Source organism: Homo sapiens, chromosome 13 (genome assembly GCF_000001405.40).
Source record: "Homo sapiens chromosome 13, GRCh38.p14 Primary Assembly".
NCBI lineage: Eukaryota > Metazoa > Chordata > Mammalia > Primates > Hominidae > Homo > Homo sapiens.
The window spans coordinates 101314057-101335020 of record NC_000013.11 but is presented as its reverse complement, the minus strand read 5'-3'; the positions used below and the strand labels follow the sequence as shown (position 1 = coordinate 101335020).

General features: G+C 36.7%; 1 protein-coding gene across 9 annotated transcripts in view, besides 1 other annotated feature; it reads left to right on the top strand.

Moving 5' to 3' along the window:
* NALCN (sodium leak channel, non-selective) overlaps positions 1-20964 on the top strand; it is a 363404-nt gene that overhangs the window by 82159 nt on the left and 260281 nt on the right. The gene's annotated exons all lie outside the window — the stretch shown is intronic.
* Positions 272-827: an enhancer, noted in NCBI's record as "NANOG hESC enhancer chr13:101986545-101987100 (GRCh37/hg19 assembly coordinates)". NCBI's record gives its function as "activates a minimal SCP1, AML or CMV promoter by ChIP-STARR-seq in naive H9 embryonic stem cells {active_cell/tissue: H9 hESC(naive)}" and the evidence as "EXISTENCE:reporter gene assay evidence [ECO:0000049][PMID:30033119]".

Sequence of the window (20964 nt, the reverse complement as noted above, 5' to 3'; positions counted from 1 at the left end):
TTTTATGGTTGTATTTTAAACATTTATAAGTTAAAAAAGTAATACTTCAAATAATGTAAGAGATTTAATGATTTAAGAAAGTAATAAATTCTGCCATATATAATTCCCTCCCTCCTTCCCTCTCTTCCTTTCTTTTCTCATTTCTTCTCCCCTCTCTGTAAGTTTCATGGTATGTTATAACATGTTTTTCATTCTTCCCTTACTGATAGACATTTAAGTGGTTTTCAGTCTTTCCCTGCAATAAGTAATGCTGTGTTGAATACAGGCATATATACATTCTGTGCTCATGTGTGATTATGCTTTAGAACAGATTCCTAGAAACAATTTCTGGGTGAAATGATATGCACATTTTTAATATGAGATAGCTGGCGGTTTACTTTTTTAAAAGATAAGGATTCATAGTACTGCCTTTATTGCGTGAGTGAATTTTTATAAATACAAGGTATTCTTTTTCAATATGCATAAATATTGAAGAAAAAAAATAATGTAGGCATTTCGTATTCCGTACTCTGTACTCTTCTGAACACTGGCAGTCCATTCTCTTCTTGAATGTATGTATTCATCCCATTCTTCCTGGAATGCCTCTCTCCATTCTCTTCTTGAATGTATGTGTTCATCCCATTCTTCCTGGATTGCCTCTCTCCTACCGCTCCCCCTACCCCCATCTCCTGTGACTCACCTGTCAGGACCTACTCAGGTAAGTTTCCCCTAATCTGCCAGCAGCACTCATCTCCCTTCTGTCTGAACTGTGATAGCAAGGTTTGTGCATCAAAGTGGACACTTCGTTACTTCGTTCTACATGTGTCCCACCGTCTGGGAGTGTGTGTGTGTGTGTGCACACGTGCGTGCCTGTGTGTGTTTTACCCTTATGTTCTGGATTCGTTCATTAGACCCAGTTGTCTCAGGTGGGAGCAGAGCCTCAGGCACTTCTTTTGATGTCTTTTCTCGCTCTCATTGAACTCGGTATATACTTGAGGACTGGCTGATCACATTTATGAGAATTTTATATTTGATAGATTGCCTTTTGAAAATCATCATTCTGCAGAAATTTAGTAATTGAAAATTTAAATCAAATTCAAATACAACTCTAGGCTCTAATTTCACTGTTCGTTTGAATGTATGACTTCTCTGTTAAGCCAGATACTCACGTGAAACAAATGTGAATAGAATAGCATGGAAATCGTGTATGGACAGTCAAGGAAACTTTCTCTGCTGGCGACAGCAGCCTGCAGAACATAATTCCCTGGACACTCTATGAAATCAAATCCGTTTTATCAACTAATCAGTTGGAGCAAAAAATAATAATAGTGTTATTTAGGAAAGCCGTAACACAGCTCTTACCTCAAGGCTAATGAAGACCTGACCCTTGAACTCTAGGGGCTTCCATGTTCCAGCTTGTGAGCCCTGCTTTGCCAAAACCCTGCTGAAGAGGTAAGAGCCTCCTTCTCTGGAGAGAAAGCCCCCAGCCTTTGACAAAGTGCTTCTAGCCTGAGCCATGTGGGCTATGAAAAAGAAGTTGGTCATCCCGAGGAGTCACTGGACAGTGGAGAGAGCCCATCCATTTTTCTCCTTTATTCTTCCCTACCCCTCAGCTCTCACTCCCTTAGGACTTGGGATTCTGGAATCATAAAAGCAAAATATTCTAAATATACTAAAACATGCTAAATAACTTAAATATGCTAAATAAAATTAAAACTAAAATAAACGTATTAGAATAAATCATGAATGGCTAATAAATATAAGCTGCCACCATTAAAACAAAAATAACAACCACTACCACAATTGCTACTATAAAGATTATTATTGATCAGCTTTATTTTTAGGTAAGTAGAAAAGTGAGATGTATTTCTATTTTTCTGAGAATGTAACCATTCTGAAAGAATAGGAGATACTTTCTCACAGTAAGCAGAAGAATGAGATGTACTCATAAATAATATATTCAACAAACAGTTATTTTGCACTTACTCTATATAGGTACTGAAAATAGAATGATGTTAATAAATATGAACAGCCCTCAAACAGAGATATTAAAATAAAACAAGAAATGAAGGTGAAATAAATTTAGAAGAAACGATGGATCATTAACTTGTAGTAGTTCTTACAGCCATGTGCTGGATGCAGGCATCCCTGTCTGAGTGTGTGCGTGTGTACAGACATTGTTTCCAAACTTTTTTACTATAACTTTGTTAAAGTGAAGCGTGAGCACTCCACATTTGCTGCAAGTCTCACTTCCCCTATTTCCTTTATTTCTCACATTTACGTAACTTGTCTAACCTCTGAAACAAATGTTTTTATTAGTTCTGGTAATGCAAAATAATCTTTAGAGAATTACGTTTTTATTTTTGCTTTTGTTAAATAAGATCTACAGTAGCATAAGTTAAGTGTGCCACCTTCATTTTGTAGCTGGCTAAATATTTCTGCTTCCTGTGTACTTTTCTGAAAATGGCTTTAATTTGTCTTATTTTTGATAATTAGCTTCAATTAGTGCAGAATTCTCCTTTGGTATTGATTGGACATAAAACCTGAGATATGTTCGTTGTATTCTGGAATCTATTACTGCCAATAACAAGCCTACCGTGAGTCGAATTTTAAGGCTTTCCTTTTTTTTTTTTTTTTTTTTTTTGGCTTTGTGAATTTGGGTTTTTTTTAACATCGTTTTTCTCTGGTAGTTTTTAAGATTTACCCTTTGTCTTTGCTGTCTTATGGTCTTAGTATCCTGTGCCTAGGCATGGATTTTTATTTTTTATCTACTGTGAACTCATTCTCTGCATATGAGACTCATGCCTTTCTTCAATTCTGGAAGGTTTTTAGGTATTATCTTCTCAAAACAGCTCTCTTCTCCATTCTCTCTATTCTTTGTTTTCTGGAATACTGATTAATATTTGTTTTTATCATATTTTTTATTCTATCCTCCATGTCTTTAAATCGTGCTTTCTAACTTCCCTCTATTTTCTTGACTTCTCTTGTTACCACACAATGGGCGGGTTCAGTTGCTTGGCAGGTGGGAGTCCAATGACCACAACCAAGGAGGATTTAACCAAGGGATTTCATTACTGGCAACAAGTAAGTAGAACACTGGGGATAGTTCCCAAAGCAGTGCCTCCCCAGACACAGGTGGAAACAGGGCTTTGTGGGGGCTGCTTAGCTGAGTCACTGTGTGCAGAGGTGGAGTGCAGGCAGGCACAGCTGTTGTTCATGCTTCTTCATATGTTGCCCATACAGAAAATGGCACATAAGCTCTTCCCTGGGCAGGGCATTTAGTATGGTAAGGTGAAGAGGTCTCCAAAGTTCATCTCCAGCTCAGGCATCCCCGGATGCCTGGGACCAGTTTTTTGTGTTTGTTCTTTGTTTTGCAGGGGCTCGGCTTCTTCCTAGAACACTTTTAAACAACGGAAACTCAAGGTGCAACAGTTAAAAGTGGATAGTTCTTCACAGTGTGTACCCAAAAACCCAGGGACCCTGGGTTACACTCTTGATCCTTGATTAGTTGCACAAGGAATCTTCTATCATTCTCTGTCCCTCCAAGAGTTGTTTACGTATTTTCAAGCTCAAATTCTTTGCTGAACTCTTAATTTTCTCTCAGTGTGTCTAGACTGCTATTTATTTATCGAATTTTCAATTCCAACATCTATAATTTTTATACCTAATATTTCTATCTAATTCTGTTTCAAACCTGCCTGTTCTTTTATCTTAGATTCCTGTTCTTGCTGTTTTCTTTCTAATCTTTTCTTCATCTCACCAAACATTTTAAACATGCTTATTTTAGAATTTGTTTCTAATGCTTCCATATTTTCTAACTCTCCTTTACAATAGTTCATTTTCTTGTGTGGTTTATAATATTGGCTATGAGCTCATTTCCACTGGCTATGAGCTCATTTTTCAGGGGTACTCTGGCCTGAACTGTGACTGGGGTTGTGTTTGCTGCAGTTTCATGGATATCAGCCGTTCTTACTGATACTCGTGTTACTTTTGTGGCTTAAAGAATATATTAATGTGTTCTCATGCTGCTAATAAAGACATACTTGAGACTGGGTAATTTATAAAGAAAAAGATTTAATAGATTCACAGTTCCACATGGCTGGGGAGGCCTCACAATCATGGCACAAGGTGAAGAAGTAAAGGTATGTCTTACTTGGTGGCAGGCACATCTTACATGGGGGCAGGCAAGAGAGCCTGTGCAGGGAAACTGCCCTTTATAAAACCGTCAGATCTTGTGAGGCTTATTCACCATCATGAGAACAGCACAGGAAAGACTCGCCCCCATGATTCAATTACCTCCCACTGAATCCCTCCCAGGACACATGGGGATTATTATGGGAGCTACAATTCAAGATGACATTTGGGTGGAAACACAGCTAAACCATATCAGGGAAGGAGAGGTCCTTGAACTATTTGCATTATGGGGGCACTGTAAAATTAGACTACACACTTCAGTTGGCCCAGGTCTGGATTCTGATTTCTCTGAGGAGACTCTTTTGCCCCGCATGGATCTGGACAGAAGTCAAGCAACATTCTGCTTTTTTCTGAGCTGGAGGCCAGGGTTCTTCCAGTCCAGATAAAATGCAGAACAATCCTTTGTAACACCCAGCTTTGTAGAGACACCTCAGCTCCAACTTACTGTCTTATATTAGGTGCCTCCCAACTCCTCTCTCTATTGGGACCCAGAAGCCCTGAAGATTTATATTGACTCCAAGTACATCTGTGAACCATTTGGCTTCAGCTGCTGCTCACAGCTCTGATTTTATATTCTCCCAAACTCTCTGACCGCTGGATAGTTTGCTCATGTAGCTTTGAGATAATTTATACATTCAAAACTTACTCTCTTTTATCTATTTCCTTGTGTTGATTTGGCATAGGGTGAGGAGGGTAAGGGAAAAAGGTGTCTAAATAAGCATAGTCCAACACATTGACCTAAAGCCCATATATATATATGCTGCTAATAACATTATATATATGTATATATATATTATATATAATTTTTTTTGAAACAGTCTCTCTCTGTCACCCAGGCTGGAGTGCAGTGGCATGATCTCAGCTCACTGCAGCCTCCTCCTCCCGGGTTCAAGCAATTCTCATGCCTCAGCCTCCCAAGTAGCTGGGACTACAGGCGTGAGCCACCACGCCCGGCTAATTTTTATATTTTTAGTAGAGACAGGGTTTCACCATTTCGGCCAGGCTGGTTTAGAACTCCTGACCTCAGGTGATCTGCCCACCTCAGCCTCCCAAAGTGCAGAGATTACAGGTGTGAGCCACTGTGTCCAGCCTATGTTTTTATATTTTTAGGATTCCCATGTAATGATGCAATTTTCCTTTCTTTGATATGATGCATCTATGATTTTATATTCTAAATGTATTTTTATACTTATATATAAAATGCATTTTATTAATTAAGCATTAGTTCTTAAAAGTTGGTATTTCCTTGAACTTTTAATTTTACAAATATTCCATTTCGGTGTTATTATTTTTAGTATTTTTTTGCTGCTGAATAGTTATGCCAACCTCTGTGCAGCCTGGGAAGACAACACATCAGCAGTCAATTTGTGTAAAGACAAAATAATATTAGAGAGCAAGAGAATGAGACAAGACTGCAAATCAGCAATAATAATTATTGAGTACTGAGAACAATTCCAGTGGATTAAGATTTGGGATGCTTAAGCTTCTTAATATTAATTGCAGCAAATATTCAAATGCTTTCACTTTCCATATAAGTACTTCAGCAAATAAGCAAAATATGAAATAAAAACCCTAATTCAGAATTACCTAAATATAAAACAAGTAAATTGTCCTAGGCAATTCTTACCATCTTATGTCCAGTAAAACAATAACCTATATTTGTGCATACAGATATATTATCTCATTTAAAAACTAGCGGTGATTGTAAATCTTGACACCAAATTGAAGTTGAACTGAAAGAGGCTTTCCTGTAAAGATACTTAGGATCCTTACATTGTATGTAAGGAAAGTCACCTAGTCCTCACATCAACCCCAGGTGTGACATGTTATTAACTTATTCTAATGGTACAGATGTTGAGATGCAGAGAACAGAAGCAGCTCTTAGGGGACAGAGACAGGGCTCAGTGATGATTATATTCACCTGTCATGGGGTAGAGCTACAATAGTGAGTATTCTGTGGATGGTCCTATCCAGATAAAAGAAGGAATTGGTTTCAGGACATAGTCTGCATCTTACTAGGTGGGGAATGTTGGACAAGTTACTTAACCTCTTCTGCCCTGTAAAATAGGGATAAAAATGGTACATATCACAGAGTGTCATAGGAAGACTAAAGTAGACTATTCTCATCCTCACACCTAATGAGTTCTCAATATTTAACTGATTATAATTATCTTTACTAGATACATAATTAAGTAAATAAATTAAGGAATTATAGAGCAAATAGTCATAGGGTCACACAGATAGAAAGTGGGAAAAATAGGAGACAAACCTATGTCTATATTCATTCCATGGCATTAGATTTAGATTGCCTCCTTTTAGTCTGGCAAAACACTCATGATTATACAATGTAATTTAAAAATATACAGTACTTTGCTGGGTGTGGTGGTGCATGCCTGTGGTCCCAGCTACTTGGGAGGCTGAGGTGGGAGGATGGCTTAAGCCTGGGAAGCAGAGGTTGCAATGAGCCGAGATCACGCCACCGCACTCTAGCCTGGGCTGTAGAACGAGATACTGTCTCAAAAAAGAAAAAAAAATACAGTACTCACATTTTACTTTGCTAGTATATGCTGTATTCACTGGTGTATGCTCTCTTGCATGGAGACTTTCATTGGGAATAAAATGTTTGAAACTATTTTACTATTTCTTGCACTGCTTTGAGATACTACCAGCAAAGCTATTTCTAAGCTGAGACGCTATGTCCTGGCAGGACTTCTAAAGACTTAAAGCAATGCTGTAGCTGTGTATTTACAACTGACTAGAGCAGGGATCAGCAAACCATGGCCAGTGGGTCAAATCCTGCTTACTGCCAGTTTTTGTAAACAAAGTTTTATCGCAACTCCCTGCCCATTTGTTTAGACATGGTCTGTGGCTGCTTTTCTCCAACAGCAGAAAAGTTCAGTAGTTCCAACAGAAACCCTGAGGCCCATAAAGCCTAAAATGTTTACCATCTGGCCATTTACGGAAAGTTAGCCAACCCCCAGACTAGAATAAAGGTAGGAAAAACCACTCAGCCCAAGCTTCTTTTTTGATTCTATCTTCCCACAGCTGCCTAGAATCCTTTGCAGTCTTTATCCTAGGAGGCTCAGAGGCTATAACACATCTCTAATTTTGTCTAGATTTGTGAGAATCCATTTCTCACAAATCCAGTTCTGGCCCTCTTTCCCTGACTCGATGTTCCTTGAACTCTAAACATGAATTTTTAAAAGAAGGATTACCTGGGATGGGTATATCCCTGAAAGTCACCTCCTTTCTGCTGCCTCTCACAAATACACAGGCTATGTGCCTTAAACCTGTCATTCACTTTAAGGAATTTTTGAAAAGTGGATAATAGGTTAGACATAAAATTCACTGAATCTGGGTTAAATTTAATCAGTGAGTATTCTTTAGAATGGAAGCATGAGCCTGAATGATTAAAGAAATTGCTTAAAAAATTAGAATCAAAATACTAAATATCATCCCCCCCAATGTTTTAGCTAGAAAAATTACTTGAAAATGAGCCAGAGAAGGAGAAAAATAATTATCTTACAGAAAACTAATAAAAATACAATAAACTATCATTTATTTAAATACAATAAACTATCATTTGTTAAAATACAATAAACATGCAAAAGCGCTATCATTGATAGCACTTTTAATGTTTAAATAACCCACTGATTACTTTCTCTAGTGGATTATTTGCAAGGGTAGAGTAAGAATCGTCGCTTCTCTGGACACATAACCCATTTGCCATGTGACATTGCCTCCCTTCCACCAAGAAGTGGAATGTATTTTTCCTCCCCTTAAATCTGATGCCTATAACTTTCTTTCCCCTTGAGATAATGGCAGAGTGGCATTGTGCAAGTTTTGGAACTAAGGTCCCACGAGGCCCTGCGGCTCTCTCTCTTGTTTATCTGAGTACTGCCCTAAGATGACCATGGAGAGAAGCCCAGTCTAGCCTAGAAAAGGAGAAGAGGCCACATGGAGAACTGAGGTCAGCCAGCCCCAGCTGCTTGACTTCTGAACAAAGCCTTCTCCGACTATTTGGCCCTGTTAGACCCAGCTGAGATCAGCAGAAGAATCACCCATCTGACCCTAGCCCAAATTGCCTTCTGCAGAACCACGGGCCAATAAATAGCAGATGCTTTAACCCACCATATTTTGCAGTGATTTGTTATATGGCAACATATCATTGAAAAACCCTCATTTTACCAAAGAAGGGGGGTCATGACATTAAGCAACTACCTAAACCCACAATGTAAATGGCAAGTCAGGGATTTAGATGCAAATCATTCCAACTAAAAATGTATACTCTAAATCAATGCCCTGTACTATACTCTGTATTTTCCAAAAACTAATTAGATTGTGTCATCAGCATTTCTGAAGACAGAGGTAGTCGTCTGGGAAGTAGAGTTTTCTCAACCAGTATTTTGCACTTGTTGGGATTTTTGAGATCAGGAATGTTTTGGAAAACCTGAGATGTGCAGTCACATCTCTGAGCAGTGTTTTAAGTTTATTCATTCACTCATTCATTCATTCAGCAAATATTTATTGAGATCTACTATATGTTAGGCACTATGTTTACCACTGGAAGGCAGGCACCAGGTAAGTACAAACACAGAACCTGAGATGGATGGCATTGCATTTTCATTTGATTACAAATTTATTCTTGCTTATAAGTTGATTACCTACCTTATTAAGAGCTGATTTGTTTCAAGTTTTAGAACTCCAATTGTGTCCTTAAATTTTTGTCTAGCTTAAAACATAGTGCTAGATTTCAAGAAGTAAATTGTCAAACAGGTTTGCTGTTTAGTTTTTGTAAAAAAGGAAACTTGTAGGCAGAAACAAAAACCAAAATAAATAAAATCTAAATTATGGTAATAACTAAAGATAGTTGAGGCATTAACAGAGTTTGACTGAACTCTCAAGTCTCAAGCAAATTTCTAAACTAAACTGTTTTCTTCTGTTAATCAGTTTAAAAGGGAATACCTTGTGCTAATTTTTCTTGGTGTTGGTAACATTAATAAAGCTCTGTGAAATGAGGCCAGAAGGAACAGAAATTGAGTCAAAATAATGATAACACCTCTTACATATTCTTACCATCTTGTCTCCTAGCCACACACACCATGTTTAAACCTAAAAGGAGAGACACCTGGAGGGGTTAATTAGCTTGCAGCTGTCTGTGACTAGTCTGCAGAGGATAAAACGGATATCAGCCGTAAGAAAGCAGCTAGCACTAGCCTGGATGATGAACAAAGAAAAGAAGCAGCTGCTGAGGAAAAGCACATTTTGCTGACCTTTGAGGAGGGCTTAAGAGGCCCTTTGCCCCCTGAAAATGGGACCTGGGAAGAAAGTCTTGATGGCAGACAGTACAAAATCAAGGGACAGCAGCTGGCTGTTTTGTGTAAGGGGCAAAATTCAAGAGGATTTGTGAATCGTTGTGATTTACAGTGACCATTAACTATTGTAATAAGGAGAGAAAAATCAACATCCATTCAGTGCCCACATTGCAAATTGCCAAGCACTGGAGGGGTACTTTCACCTAGGCCAACAAACTTAATAAGCAGAGAAACCCTTCAGTGTTTTGGCTCCTACAGCTCAAGTGTACTAGGTTGGCAAGTGGAAGTTCCTTTGGTCATCTCTGTTTATACACTTGTTTGAGATATTTCATAAAGTCAGCCCATTTGTTACTTTATCTGTAGTATGTGCTGTTTCATGTGGAAGATGCTTGCCTTTTGATAGTATTCCAAACTGACCAACCCTGTACGGATTTAAGCCACTGAGAAGCTATGAACAGACAGGTGAAGTTTTGGTATTGCCAGGAACCAGCTTGTCCAGAAGTTTAATCCTTTAAGGAAAAGGATAGCAAGCCCAATGCAACAGCCCTTCATGCTAAAAACTCTCAATAAATTAAGTATTGATGGGACGTATCTCAAAATAATAAGAGCTATTTGTGACAAAACCACAGCCAATATCATACTGAATGGGCAAAAACTGGAAGCATTCCCTTTGAAAACCGGCACAAGACAGGGATGGCCTCCCTCACCACTCCTATTCAACATAGTGTTGGAAGTTCTGGCCAGGGCAGTCAGGCAGGAGAAAGAAATAAAGGGTATTCAATTAGGAAGAGAGGAAGTCAAATTGTCCCTGTTTGCAGATGACATGATTGTATATCTAGAAAACCCCATCGTCTCAGCCCAAAATCTCCTTAAGCTGATAGGCAACTTCAGCAAAGTCTCAGGATACAAAATCAATGTGCAAAAATCACAAGCATTCCTATACACCAATAACAGACAGAGAGCCAAATCATGAGTGAACTCCCATTCACAATTGCTTCAAAGAGAGTAAAATACCTAGGAATCTAACTTACAAGGGATGTGAAGGAGCTCTTCAAGGAGAACTACAAACCACTGCTCGACAATTGTTAAAAACTAAAGTTGTTGGGGAACAAATTGTACTTAAAATATATTTATTGTGTAATCTGATAAAATATTTTAAATTCTGGTGTTACAAAGTTTTAGTGTTTCTTTTGTTCTTTTTACAAAACAGAAACCCACTAAAATGTTAACTGATTGACATTATATTTTTTGCTTTCGTCAGTGTTAAATACTTGTTGCACAGTAGTATGAGTTGTTTCTATCATTTACTCTTCTACAAGCCAGTTGAGACGTGTTACGAGGACTCAAAATATTCTAATTGGCGGTGACCAAATGTCATACAATTATGAAGTATACAAGCCATTCTAACCTTCACAGTAAATTTTTTTACCCTCTGGTTGCATACTTAAATAGAATTATACTAATAATGCATATTTTCTGAATGTTAATGTCATGTGAAATTGCTACTAAGTTAAACGTTGCTTCCCATGGTTTTCTGGGTGATGGGTGTTTATTCTGCTTATTCAGTGCCTCTCTACATAGAGGAACCTATCTCAGTGACTCCTGTACTACTCTACAACAAAATGGCAGAAGAAAAGTTACCCATTTGAAAAAATACCTTATTTTCCAAACAGAAGTCTTCAGACAGGCAGTGCACAATATTTGCCTTCCAGAAAAGGAGATTGCATAAATGCATAACTTACATGTTAGTACATGTGACTGTTTCCCTGTCTTATCCTGAATGCATGGAAAATCATGAGACTTATTTTTTTCTTCCTACTGGATTCCATTATAAAACCTCTATTTGTATAGGTTATAAATTCTAACCAATAATTGAGCTTACTATGTTGAGGCTGTAGGCAGAGGATAAGATTTACATGTCAGACTTTATGTTCTGCTCTTTGGATTAGGGTAATTTTCAAAAGTTATTGACTGTAAAATAATAATCATGCACTGAGGAAATACAATATTAAAATAAATTTTGAAGAAGATGGAATTATAGCAGGGGACCTGTGGAAATAGAATCTAAGAACATATTGTACATATGCTGAATTAATAGAGTTGCATTGTGTCGTTCACATAGCAAATTCAGTACAGATTGTTTGTTAATGTCAACAGATTATGCCGTAAAATTTGTAATTTGTTTGGCAAATCTTGACAATGCTGAGACATTTATTCTAGTTAATACAAATGGCTAAGGTCTGTAATTATGAGTTATTTAAGCTAAGAAATTTGGCAAGTTCATTATTCATCAGTCTCTACCTACTATTCCAAATTAATTGACTGTTTTATATACTGATACAATTAATAGTAAACTTTTTATATTAAGTATACATATGTGAAATAAAATCATATTATTATTGGATTATAAGATGTTAATAATGGTAAGTCATGACTGTTATTTTGTTGAAGTGATTTTTTAGAATTTTTAAAGGTTTATTCAACAAAATAGAGTTATCTTACTTAAAAATGGATGCTTAGGGCCAGGCGCAGTGGCTCACACCTGTAATCCCAGCACTTTGGGAGGCCAAGGCGGGCAGTATCACCTGAGGTCACAAGTTTGAGACCAGCCTGGCCAACATGGTGAAACCCTGTCTCTACTAAAAATACAAAATTAGCCAGGCATGGTGGTGGGCACCTGTAATTCCAGCTACTTGGGAGGCTGAGGTAGGAGAATTGTTTGAACCCGGGAGGCAGAGGTTGCAGTGAGCCGAGATCATGCCACTAAATTTCAACCTGGGCGACAGAGTGAGACTCTGTCTCAAAAAAATAAAAAATAAAAAAACCACGCTTAGAGATTTTTAAATTAAATTAGTTTCAATACTTCTATAATAGTTAAAACAAGTGGTTTCTATTTAAATCACAAATGATAGAGGTTAGAGATGAAACTAAACATATGAGATCATCAAGTCCAACCTTCTGCTACGATATTAGACTTCAAATGAAAAGCACATCAAACGTTAACCAGATGATTTCTTTGATAGTCTGTTTAAAAATATTGAATTAATAAACTGGAAACATTTTAAAAATTGCTGTTCTTTTGGAATTAATATAAAAACATATACTTTAAAGTAAGGAATTTTATACTGATTAAGTTATACACTGCTTAGCCTAGCATGTGTATGTTATACTTAAAAATGTGCATTGTACATTGTCAAATAATTTGCACACGATCATTTACACATCTGTATTGTTCACATTGACGTACTTTGTGTCATATATATTTGTGCATTATCAGTTGATTTGCACATTGCACACCAGAGTCACACAGTTATAGATCTGTGTGAATTCCCTATATTCCACATGCATGGACATGTTCATATATACCCACACAAATACACCCCATGAAATGATATCCAGTTAATGAATACAAAGGTTTTTAAAGGAGAAATTCATTAGAAAAAAATCCTATAAGCCTCTAGTTTTCCCAATGAATTAATCTAAGAATGGATATTTTATTTTTTCCATGTTTGACTTGTAAAGTAAAACTTTAGTAATAAAGAGTGTCTGCCTTACAGTTCATATATTTCTTGAATTTAAAAAACTCAATTACATAAGAAATACATTAATTCTTTTCTTTAAACTATTAAGACAGCAAAGTCTTTTTTATGATTATCTACAATTCCGGTCCTCTCTCCGGTATCTCCAAGATAACATTATTATGAGTTTAATGTATGACATTTTTGACTTTGAAACTCACTTTCATATGGGTATATACATATGTTTACATAGAATATATGGAGTGTTGTTTACATATTATTTATATGAATAAATATACACCTACTCCAGGTAATTTAGTGGTGACTATCACGTATTTTATTTGGTCATTCTACAATTGATTGATGCCTTTTGTGTGTGTGTGATTACTAATACTGGAGTATTAATATACTTGCATGAGTCTCCTTGTGTACCATGGGAATAGTTCTGTATTTGAAAATAGAATTACTGGGTATGCACATTTTTAATTTTTAATATATACTTCCAAATTGTTCCTGCATACTCCCACCAGTACTAAGAATGTATCTGTTTTCCTCTTAGCATGTCAATATTTGATATAATGAAACTTGTAAATTTTAGCCAACTAAATGAGTGTGATTTCTATTCCTTTATAGTAACTGATGAGGTTATAATCAAGTTAAGCATTTTTTTATATGTTTATTGGCCACTCAGGTTTTTTTCTTCTACGAATTGCTGGTTCACATGCTTCGCCCATTTTCCTTCTGGACTTGTGTGTGTGTCTTTTTCTTACATATATTGGTATATTTGACTTTTGTCTATTATTTATTTTAAGGTTATAGGATTTTAGAGTTAATGAAAGGATAAAATGCTGGAGGCCTAGAATTCAGAATCGTACATAGGATTCTAAACAGAAGCCATGTTCTAAATAAGGATTTGGCTTGTGGGACAAAAGAAAAATGTGGAATTTCACAGACATTTATGGGCAATAGAGAATCAAGAATGACTTTGTCATAACATCGGCATCATTGAATGGTATTGTCACCTATACCATGATCAAGAAATTAACGGTGTTGCTCTGCAGACTGGCAAATCTCATTGCCCTTTCTTCTAACCCTGGGAAAGTATTATTACAATGGAAAAAGATATGCGACAAGATATTGTATTAATAGGGTGTTAGAATCAAATAAAAGGAGGGATAGATGTAGTAAGAGAAGCAGATTTTATAGCTATCCCCATTCCAAGAATAAAAAACAAAAAAATAATAGGCGAGTTCATTGTGGGCATCTGTCAGGAACAAGGAAGGATAGAGCTCTGAAAGCTGACTGCAGTCACTAACAAAAACCCTTTTGAGACATATTCCAAGAACCTGAAAAACTGGTAATGGACCCTTCCTTATACTCGGTGTCTTGAAAGGCAGTAAACTGTCTAATGGGATATAAAAATAGAGTCTTTTTTTCCTCCCCCACTCTAATATTCTCCTATTTTAAAAACCTTCTTTATATGGCACTGCAAATAATAGCACACAGCAAGAACTGTACTTTGCAGTATTATTGAGCATCTCAAGTGTCTGAAAGGTACAAAGCTAACAACCAAATGACTTCAGAATGGAAAATGTCCCAGAATTTTTAATTTTCCTTCTAAAACAGAAATATAGGGGAAGCAAAAACAACCTTAATCTAAAATCCAGCTTAAAATGACAACCAGAGGTTTTCTAGCTTATATTTTATTTCAGAATGCTTAGCAAATTTCTTGACTTTGTATTAATTTTAGTGAGTTGTAATTTGAGGAAACTCATGGTTTTCTAAGATCCTTTATACCTGAAAAGTTGTCGCATACGTGTAAGACTTGCTTTGTTATTGTTGTTGTAAATTGAATACCTGAAGGTAGATTTTAGTACACTAAATAATCATGATGTTCATTCTGTGCTAATAGGCAGGAAAGATGGACAATAGAACTTACTGGGATGCCAGGAAGTGCTCTGATCACCCAGGAGTGAGACATGAGATGGGCAGAAAGAACAAGATTAGTTAACTATCATGGGAAACATAAGAAGAATTTGGCTTTAGGGATTGTGTGTTTGAGATTGATTTTTAAAAGAAAAAGACCTATTTAAAAATCCACAGATGCTTAGGGAATAGAATAGCTATTTTTTTAATTCATAAATTTTATATTGGTTAGTTTTCACAGCAGTGAATTATCAACTTTATATAAAAGTAAAATGATAATTTGATATATTTCCTGATATGAGTCCACATTTTCAGAGCCATCTAAATTCAGCCTTGTTTGTTCATTATACATATATAAGAAAATCCTTCTTCTATGCAACAAATGGCTGTATATAAAATATACATGACTTGTTGATTTAAAATCTTTTACCTTTTTTTCTCATCATAAAGGTAAAACACATGCATTTCATAAATGTTTGAAAATGGGAACGTATGTACCAAAAAAATCACTTCAAAATCATGGTTTACGTATCTTCTAAAAACATGTAATCAAATATAACAAAGTATATTTAGGCCAATATTTTGACTATGATAAAATCGCTTTGATTCAGAAGGTATTGTGTTTTCTGAGTATTTCATTATTTAAAGCAGAAGGTTTCATCTTTCAGAAGTGTCACTCCAGCCTGGGTGTCCTGTGTGGTTGAGTCAAATCAGTGCTTCCACTATCAGTAGGTTTGGCACAGGATGAAGCAAGAACATCAAACTAAAGGGGCCAAGAACAATAGGTGGGAGAGGCTGCAGGAGGAGCAGAGAGGTCCTGATAATGAGGTTCCCTGACTATAGCAGGTTAGGACTAGACAAGCCCTGTGACCAACAGAGGAAAGAGTTTCTGAGCACTTTCTATATCTGGCTGTACCTTGGGGGACTTCCTCCATTTTGTCTGGGCTCATCCACAGTCCTGCTAAGAGATTCTGCAAAATATACTGCAGTTCTCATTCATGTGCCCCTTGAGATGCATTTGAGCTGCAGGTATTTTCCCTCCAGTGGTACCCAGTTTATTATTTCTAGTCCATTCAACTCATAACAACATCCAGCAGCACTTTACCCACAGGTGGGTGTTTATTAGGTTTTTATTTCTTTTGTCCAGGTTTATTGAGTTTGAAGAGTAGGCAGGGATTTCTGTTTTTATGAGTCACTTGTCAGCTGTAATGAAGTCTTCTTCACTAAAAAAAAGATGTGAGGACAATCTTGCGCAGTGTCATAATTATTCTAAAAATACATCATGCTTAATTGTATCCACAAAGGTTTTAAAAATTTAAACATCAGTTTTGAGTTTTAGGGCTTTCTTATTGGTGAATTATCAATAATTGTAGTGCTTTCTTGAAAAGTTCCCTGGGGTGGATTTCCTTAGTTGCATATAATTCTAGCCTCTTCAGCCTACTAAGGATAAAAGGGACATGAAGTACACATATCTGGGAATTAATTACATTTTTCTGCTCAAGAGCCAAGTCATTTTCAGAAATTGATGTCAAATAGGTCTTCCATAGCTGAAAGTGCTAGGTGTCTCTTCACATAGTTAAGATTTCCCCCTATTCAGAAATATTAGTTTCTGATGACAATGGAAAATTCCAAATGCAGCAGCTTCACTGTGTTCTAATAATGTTCATGCTTAGGGATCCTGAAACCACTTGCAGTATGCCTGGTCTAGCCACAGCAGGGAGCCGGCGCCCATGCCAGTTCCCAGAGCTGACCACCCCACCGCAGCCAGCGTGTCTGGCTGTGCACCATGGCCAGACTCCATGCTCACTCACTCATGCACCCCGCACTGCTCCCCACCTGGCTCAACCTTGGTGGGCATGGGATCCAGGCTGGTAGTGAAAGTCAAATGCTGCCTGCCAGGCCGGGTGGGCAGAACGAGCCCAGCGGGTGAGAAAAACTTGGGCAAACGTGCCACTGGCTACAGAGGTTTCCGGCTGGTGAAGTGACACCCTAAGGATTCTGTGACAATGGGAAAAGGGGTAATGAAGGGATAGAGCAGATTAAGGAATTTAAAACCCAGTTGAGCAAGTATATCTGTAAATAATGTACTTTTGTATACTACAAAACCACAAAGAAAGGATCTCCCTCCTCTATTATCACAGGGTCATCCCGGAAGAACTGACATTTCAATACGTTAAAAAATAAGTAGATAATGTTTTTAGCTTTAAAAAAAAGTGGAATAATCTATGCATATATAAAGAATAAATGCACATAACATTTATGTGGGTTATGTAAGCAGAGGTAAGCATTATAATAAAGCAAACACTGATGAGCCACTGGTGAGGAAACATAACCTTCCTAAATCTCTGAGGCTTTCAGAGTGGCTCTTGGCCCATGTAGAGGTAAGGGTGTGAAAGAACAGGAAGAGAGGGCGTCCATGTTTGAGAAACCACAAAATCACAGGAGTCGCTAAAGGAGTAGTTTAATTGGTTATATGGAGGAAATCTGGAGTGATGTTAGAAGATGCAATTGACCAGATCAGGTGGATCACAGAGGCCATCCTGAGCAGTACAATAGGAAATTAATCAGGGATCCCCTATGGTTACCATACCTTATGGGTTTAAACCAATGATGCTTACGAGGGAGAAGTTAGCTTTTCTGGACAATGTCCTTGGTGTGCACTTTTCAGATGGAGATTGGCAAGCCAATGGCTAAGGAGGGTGAATCAGATCAAAATTCTTCCTTGACTTTCATAGCATTTCCAGAGGATGTCTAGTTTATGAGTAAAATGTCTTGCCTTCATCTCATAAAATTATCTCTATGTCCTCACCTGTAAAGATGTTCTATATCAAACATTATTATTTATACAAATAATTATATTTTCTTAAAAAGACTTTTTTGTACAGTAAAATAAGTGGAAGCAAACTTAAATGATTCAGAACAACTTTCTAAATATTTGACTAAACAATTTCAGGAAATAGCCATTTAATCCCTCGAAAACAAAATTTGGCTTTGGTTAATTTTTAGAAAATCCTAAGATGAGGAGATGAAGCTAAAAAAAATATATTGAACACTGTGCATTTCAATAAAGAATTTACAGAATAGCTGGAAAATTAAGGTTAAGTATACAAGGTAATTATAGATTTATTTTTAAAATGAAAAGGCATTTAACAATCTAAAAACTACATCAAATACATTATATTTAGCATCATGAAAGTACTTAATTATCTGCACCTATCAGTGAAGCATTTTTTTTCTCATAAATCTGTTCTATGATAATCTACAGGAAGACATAATTTTAAAATTTGTAAGGATTAGAGTGGATGGTCACCTGGTCCCAACCTTTGGAACATTTGAAAAGCAAGGAACATATAAACTGAACATTAATTTTCTCCTTGCAATGTATACAAGAAATTTAAAAAAGAATTTTCCAGAGTACAGGTATAAAAGGGTATATTCTTGACAGGGAATCAGAGTGCTGACAGATGGCTAAGATTTCCATCCAAGAAAAATTTGATGTTTGAACTTAAGAAAATGGAAACTTTCTTTGCTGGACCTCACATAATATTTTCAGTAATGACAGAAAGTCAGGAAAGATGAATGTGGAAACAAAATGTTCTTGAACACATGAAATAAATAGGTAATTTAGATACAGTGGGTGGTGCCAGTATGCTCTGTAGGTGAAGAATAAATCTGGAATCCTAGGAGGTCGCCCTAACCAGTGAGGTCTCTCTCACTTATGAACATAAAATGTCTGGGTACTTAGGACTCCTCTAGGCAATAAATGACCTTCAGTTAGATTGAGGGCTGATCGAACTGAGAGGGATTAGTACATAATTTAATCTATTTGCTAATTAGCATGATGAATTAGACCATTGTCATCTGTTGCTGTGTGGGAGAGGAAGAGGACAAGGCATTTAAGTTTTGATGAGAAGGACATTTATTGAATAGCATTGTACACTTTAAGAGTGGATTCTCATATATGATCTAAGTATCTTAGTCTATAGACTAAGTTTGATTCTTTCCTTTCATTAGTGACAGAGCTACAACTGTCACTTGAGTATTGGGTGACTTGACTTCTCTTCCAAGTCGAACACACTGCATAACATGGAAAGAAGGCAAGGAAGAGGAGAATATATCTTGTCCCATCACTGGTCATTTCAGGGGAGATTTTGGCACTGAAGACAGATCAGGAGCATATCAGATAGGAACAAAAAAAACAGGCTTGGTAGCTTAAAAGGAGGAGTCAAGTCTTACCAACTCTGAACACTCACCTCAGTAGTGATGTTTCATTTTTACCCTCTTAGGGTAAAAGAGTCTGGTATTTCTAAGTATATGCTTTCTAGTGTTTGTGTTTACTATATTTAAGAAACACCATTAGATCAATTCTTATTAATGATTACTTGATATTAATCATTATGATTAGACACTAGTTTAAAAGCATAGATTAGTTTCATTAAAGACTTTTCTTGAGAGATTATATATTAAATGGGTGGTGTACACATTCTTACTAAGAAAGTTTTCTGCTGTTTATATCTTAAATTAATGTAGAATTTCTCCCTTAATTTCTACATAGAAACTTAGTATAGATAAGCTTGTGCAGTCAGCTGTGAATTCATCTAGGCCTACTACCATTTCTTCATCTCCTCTAAAGAATAAAATATGAACTATCTTGTTGAAATTAAGTGCTACTAGATCTATACTGCTAGTGATCCTGTAATATCAATACATGCATGCATACATACATAAATATTTTAAGAAGGAAAAGAAATCTGGTTGGAACTGATGCCTTCCCAGTGAGCCTTTGCTGGCTCTTGACAGTTTTCGCTCTCTTCTTTAAGGGTGTTCAGATTATCTAGACTTTCTAGAATTAATGATTATTTTATCGTTTTGACAATTTTTCTTTCTAAGTTAAAACCACATTGGCATTTTGTGAATATGATCATATTTCTCATTTTGACCAATTTTTCCCTAGCATTACAGTTCGTTAATTTACTGGTAATTAAATAATGATTAAACATATTAATTAAACAAATAATGATTATTTATTTTTGTATTACGTTTTATTCCTTAAAGCCTCTCTCCATCGTTAACCCTTTTCCTTTGTAAGCCCTTCCTTAGCATCTCACTGGAGGTACGTTCAGGCAGCATCACTTTAGTATCTCGCCAGCATTGTCCTCTTCCCGCCAGTGGGAACCAACTAACAAGTACACTCTCAGGTATGAACTTAAGTACAGGCAAGTCAACAGATTTCATATGCATCCAAATGACACGTTAAATACAAAGCTTTGCTCACCTGCCTTTGTACAGGAGTCTGCTGCTGCTGGGTTTTAATGAAACTTAAAGGCTGAATCAAAGCCTTATTAGTGGGAGGATCTTTGACATGAAATTCTTTTTGTTCAGTATAATTTGCATTTTGTATTCATTTGAAAAATTGTCCTGTGCATTTGTTCGAATATCGAGAATAGAGAACTGAGTGATTCCTGGGTTTATGTGGGTGATATTGTGGAAATAAGAGGTGCTGTGGTATGTACAGCTAGTCCCCAAATATGATTGTATTTTACTAGAGATAGAGAATTCACAGTGACTGAACTATTCAGGCTGTAAAATATAGGAACCATCTGCCATAGAATAAGCATATTAGGAAAATGCCACCTATTCCTACATTAGTCTGGCCCTTGCTCCAAAATTTCACATGTACTCATATGTTTGTTTTCCGTGTCTCTGATTGATGCAGCTAGCTAATGCCTAATGACAGTTTTTTTAATCATTCCCTATATACATTTTTTTATTTTATTATTATACTTTAAGTTTTAGGGTACATGTGCACAACGTGCAGGTTTGTTACATATGTATACATGTGCCATGTTAGTGTGCTGCACCCATTAACTCGTCATTTAGCATTAGGCCTATCTCCAAATGCTATCCCTCCCCCCTCCCCCCACCCCACAACAGTCCCCAGTGTGTGATGTTCGCCTTCCTGTGTCCATGTGTTCTCATTGTTCAATTCCCACCTATGAGTGAGAACATGCGGTGTTTGATTTTTTGTCCTT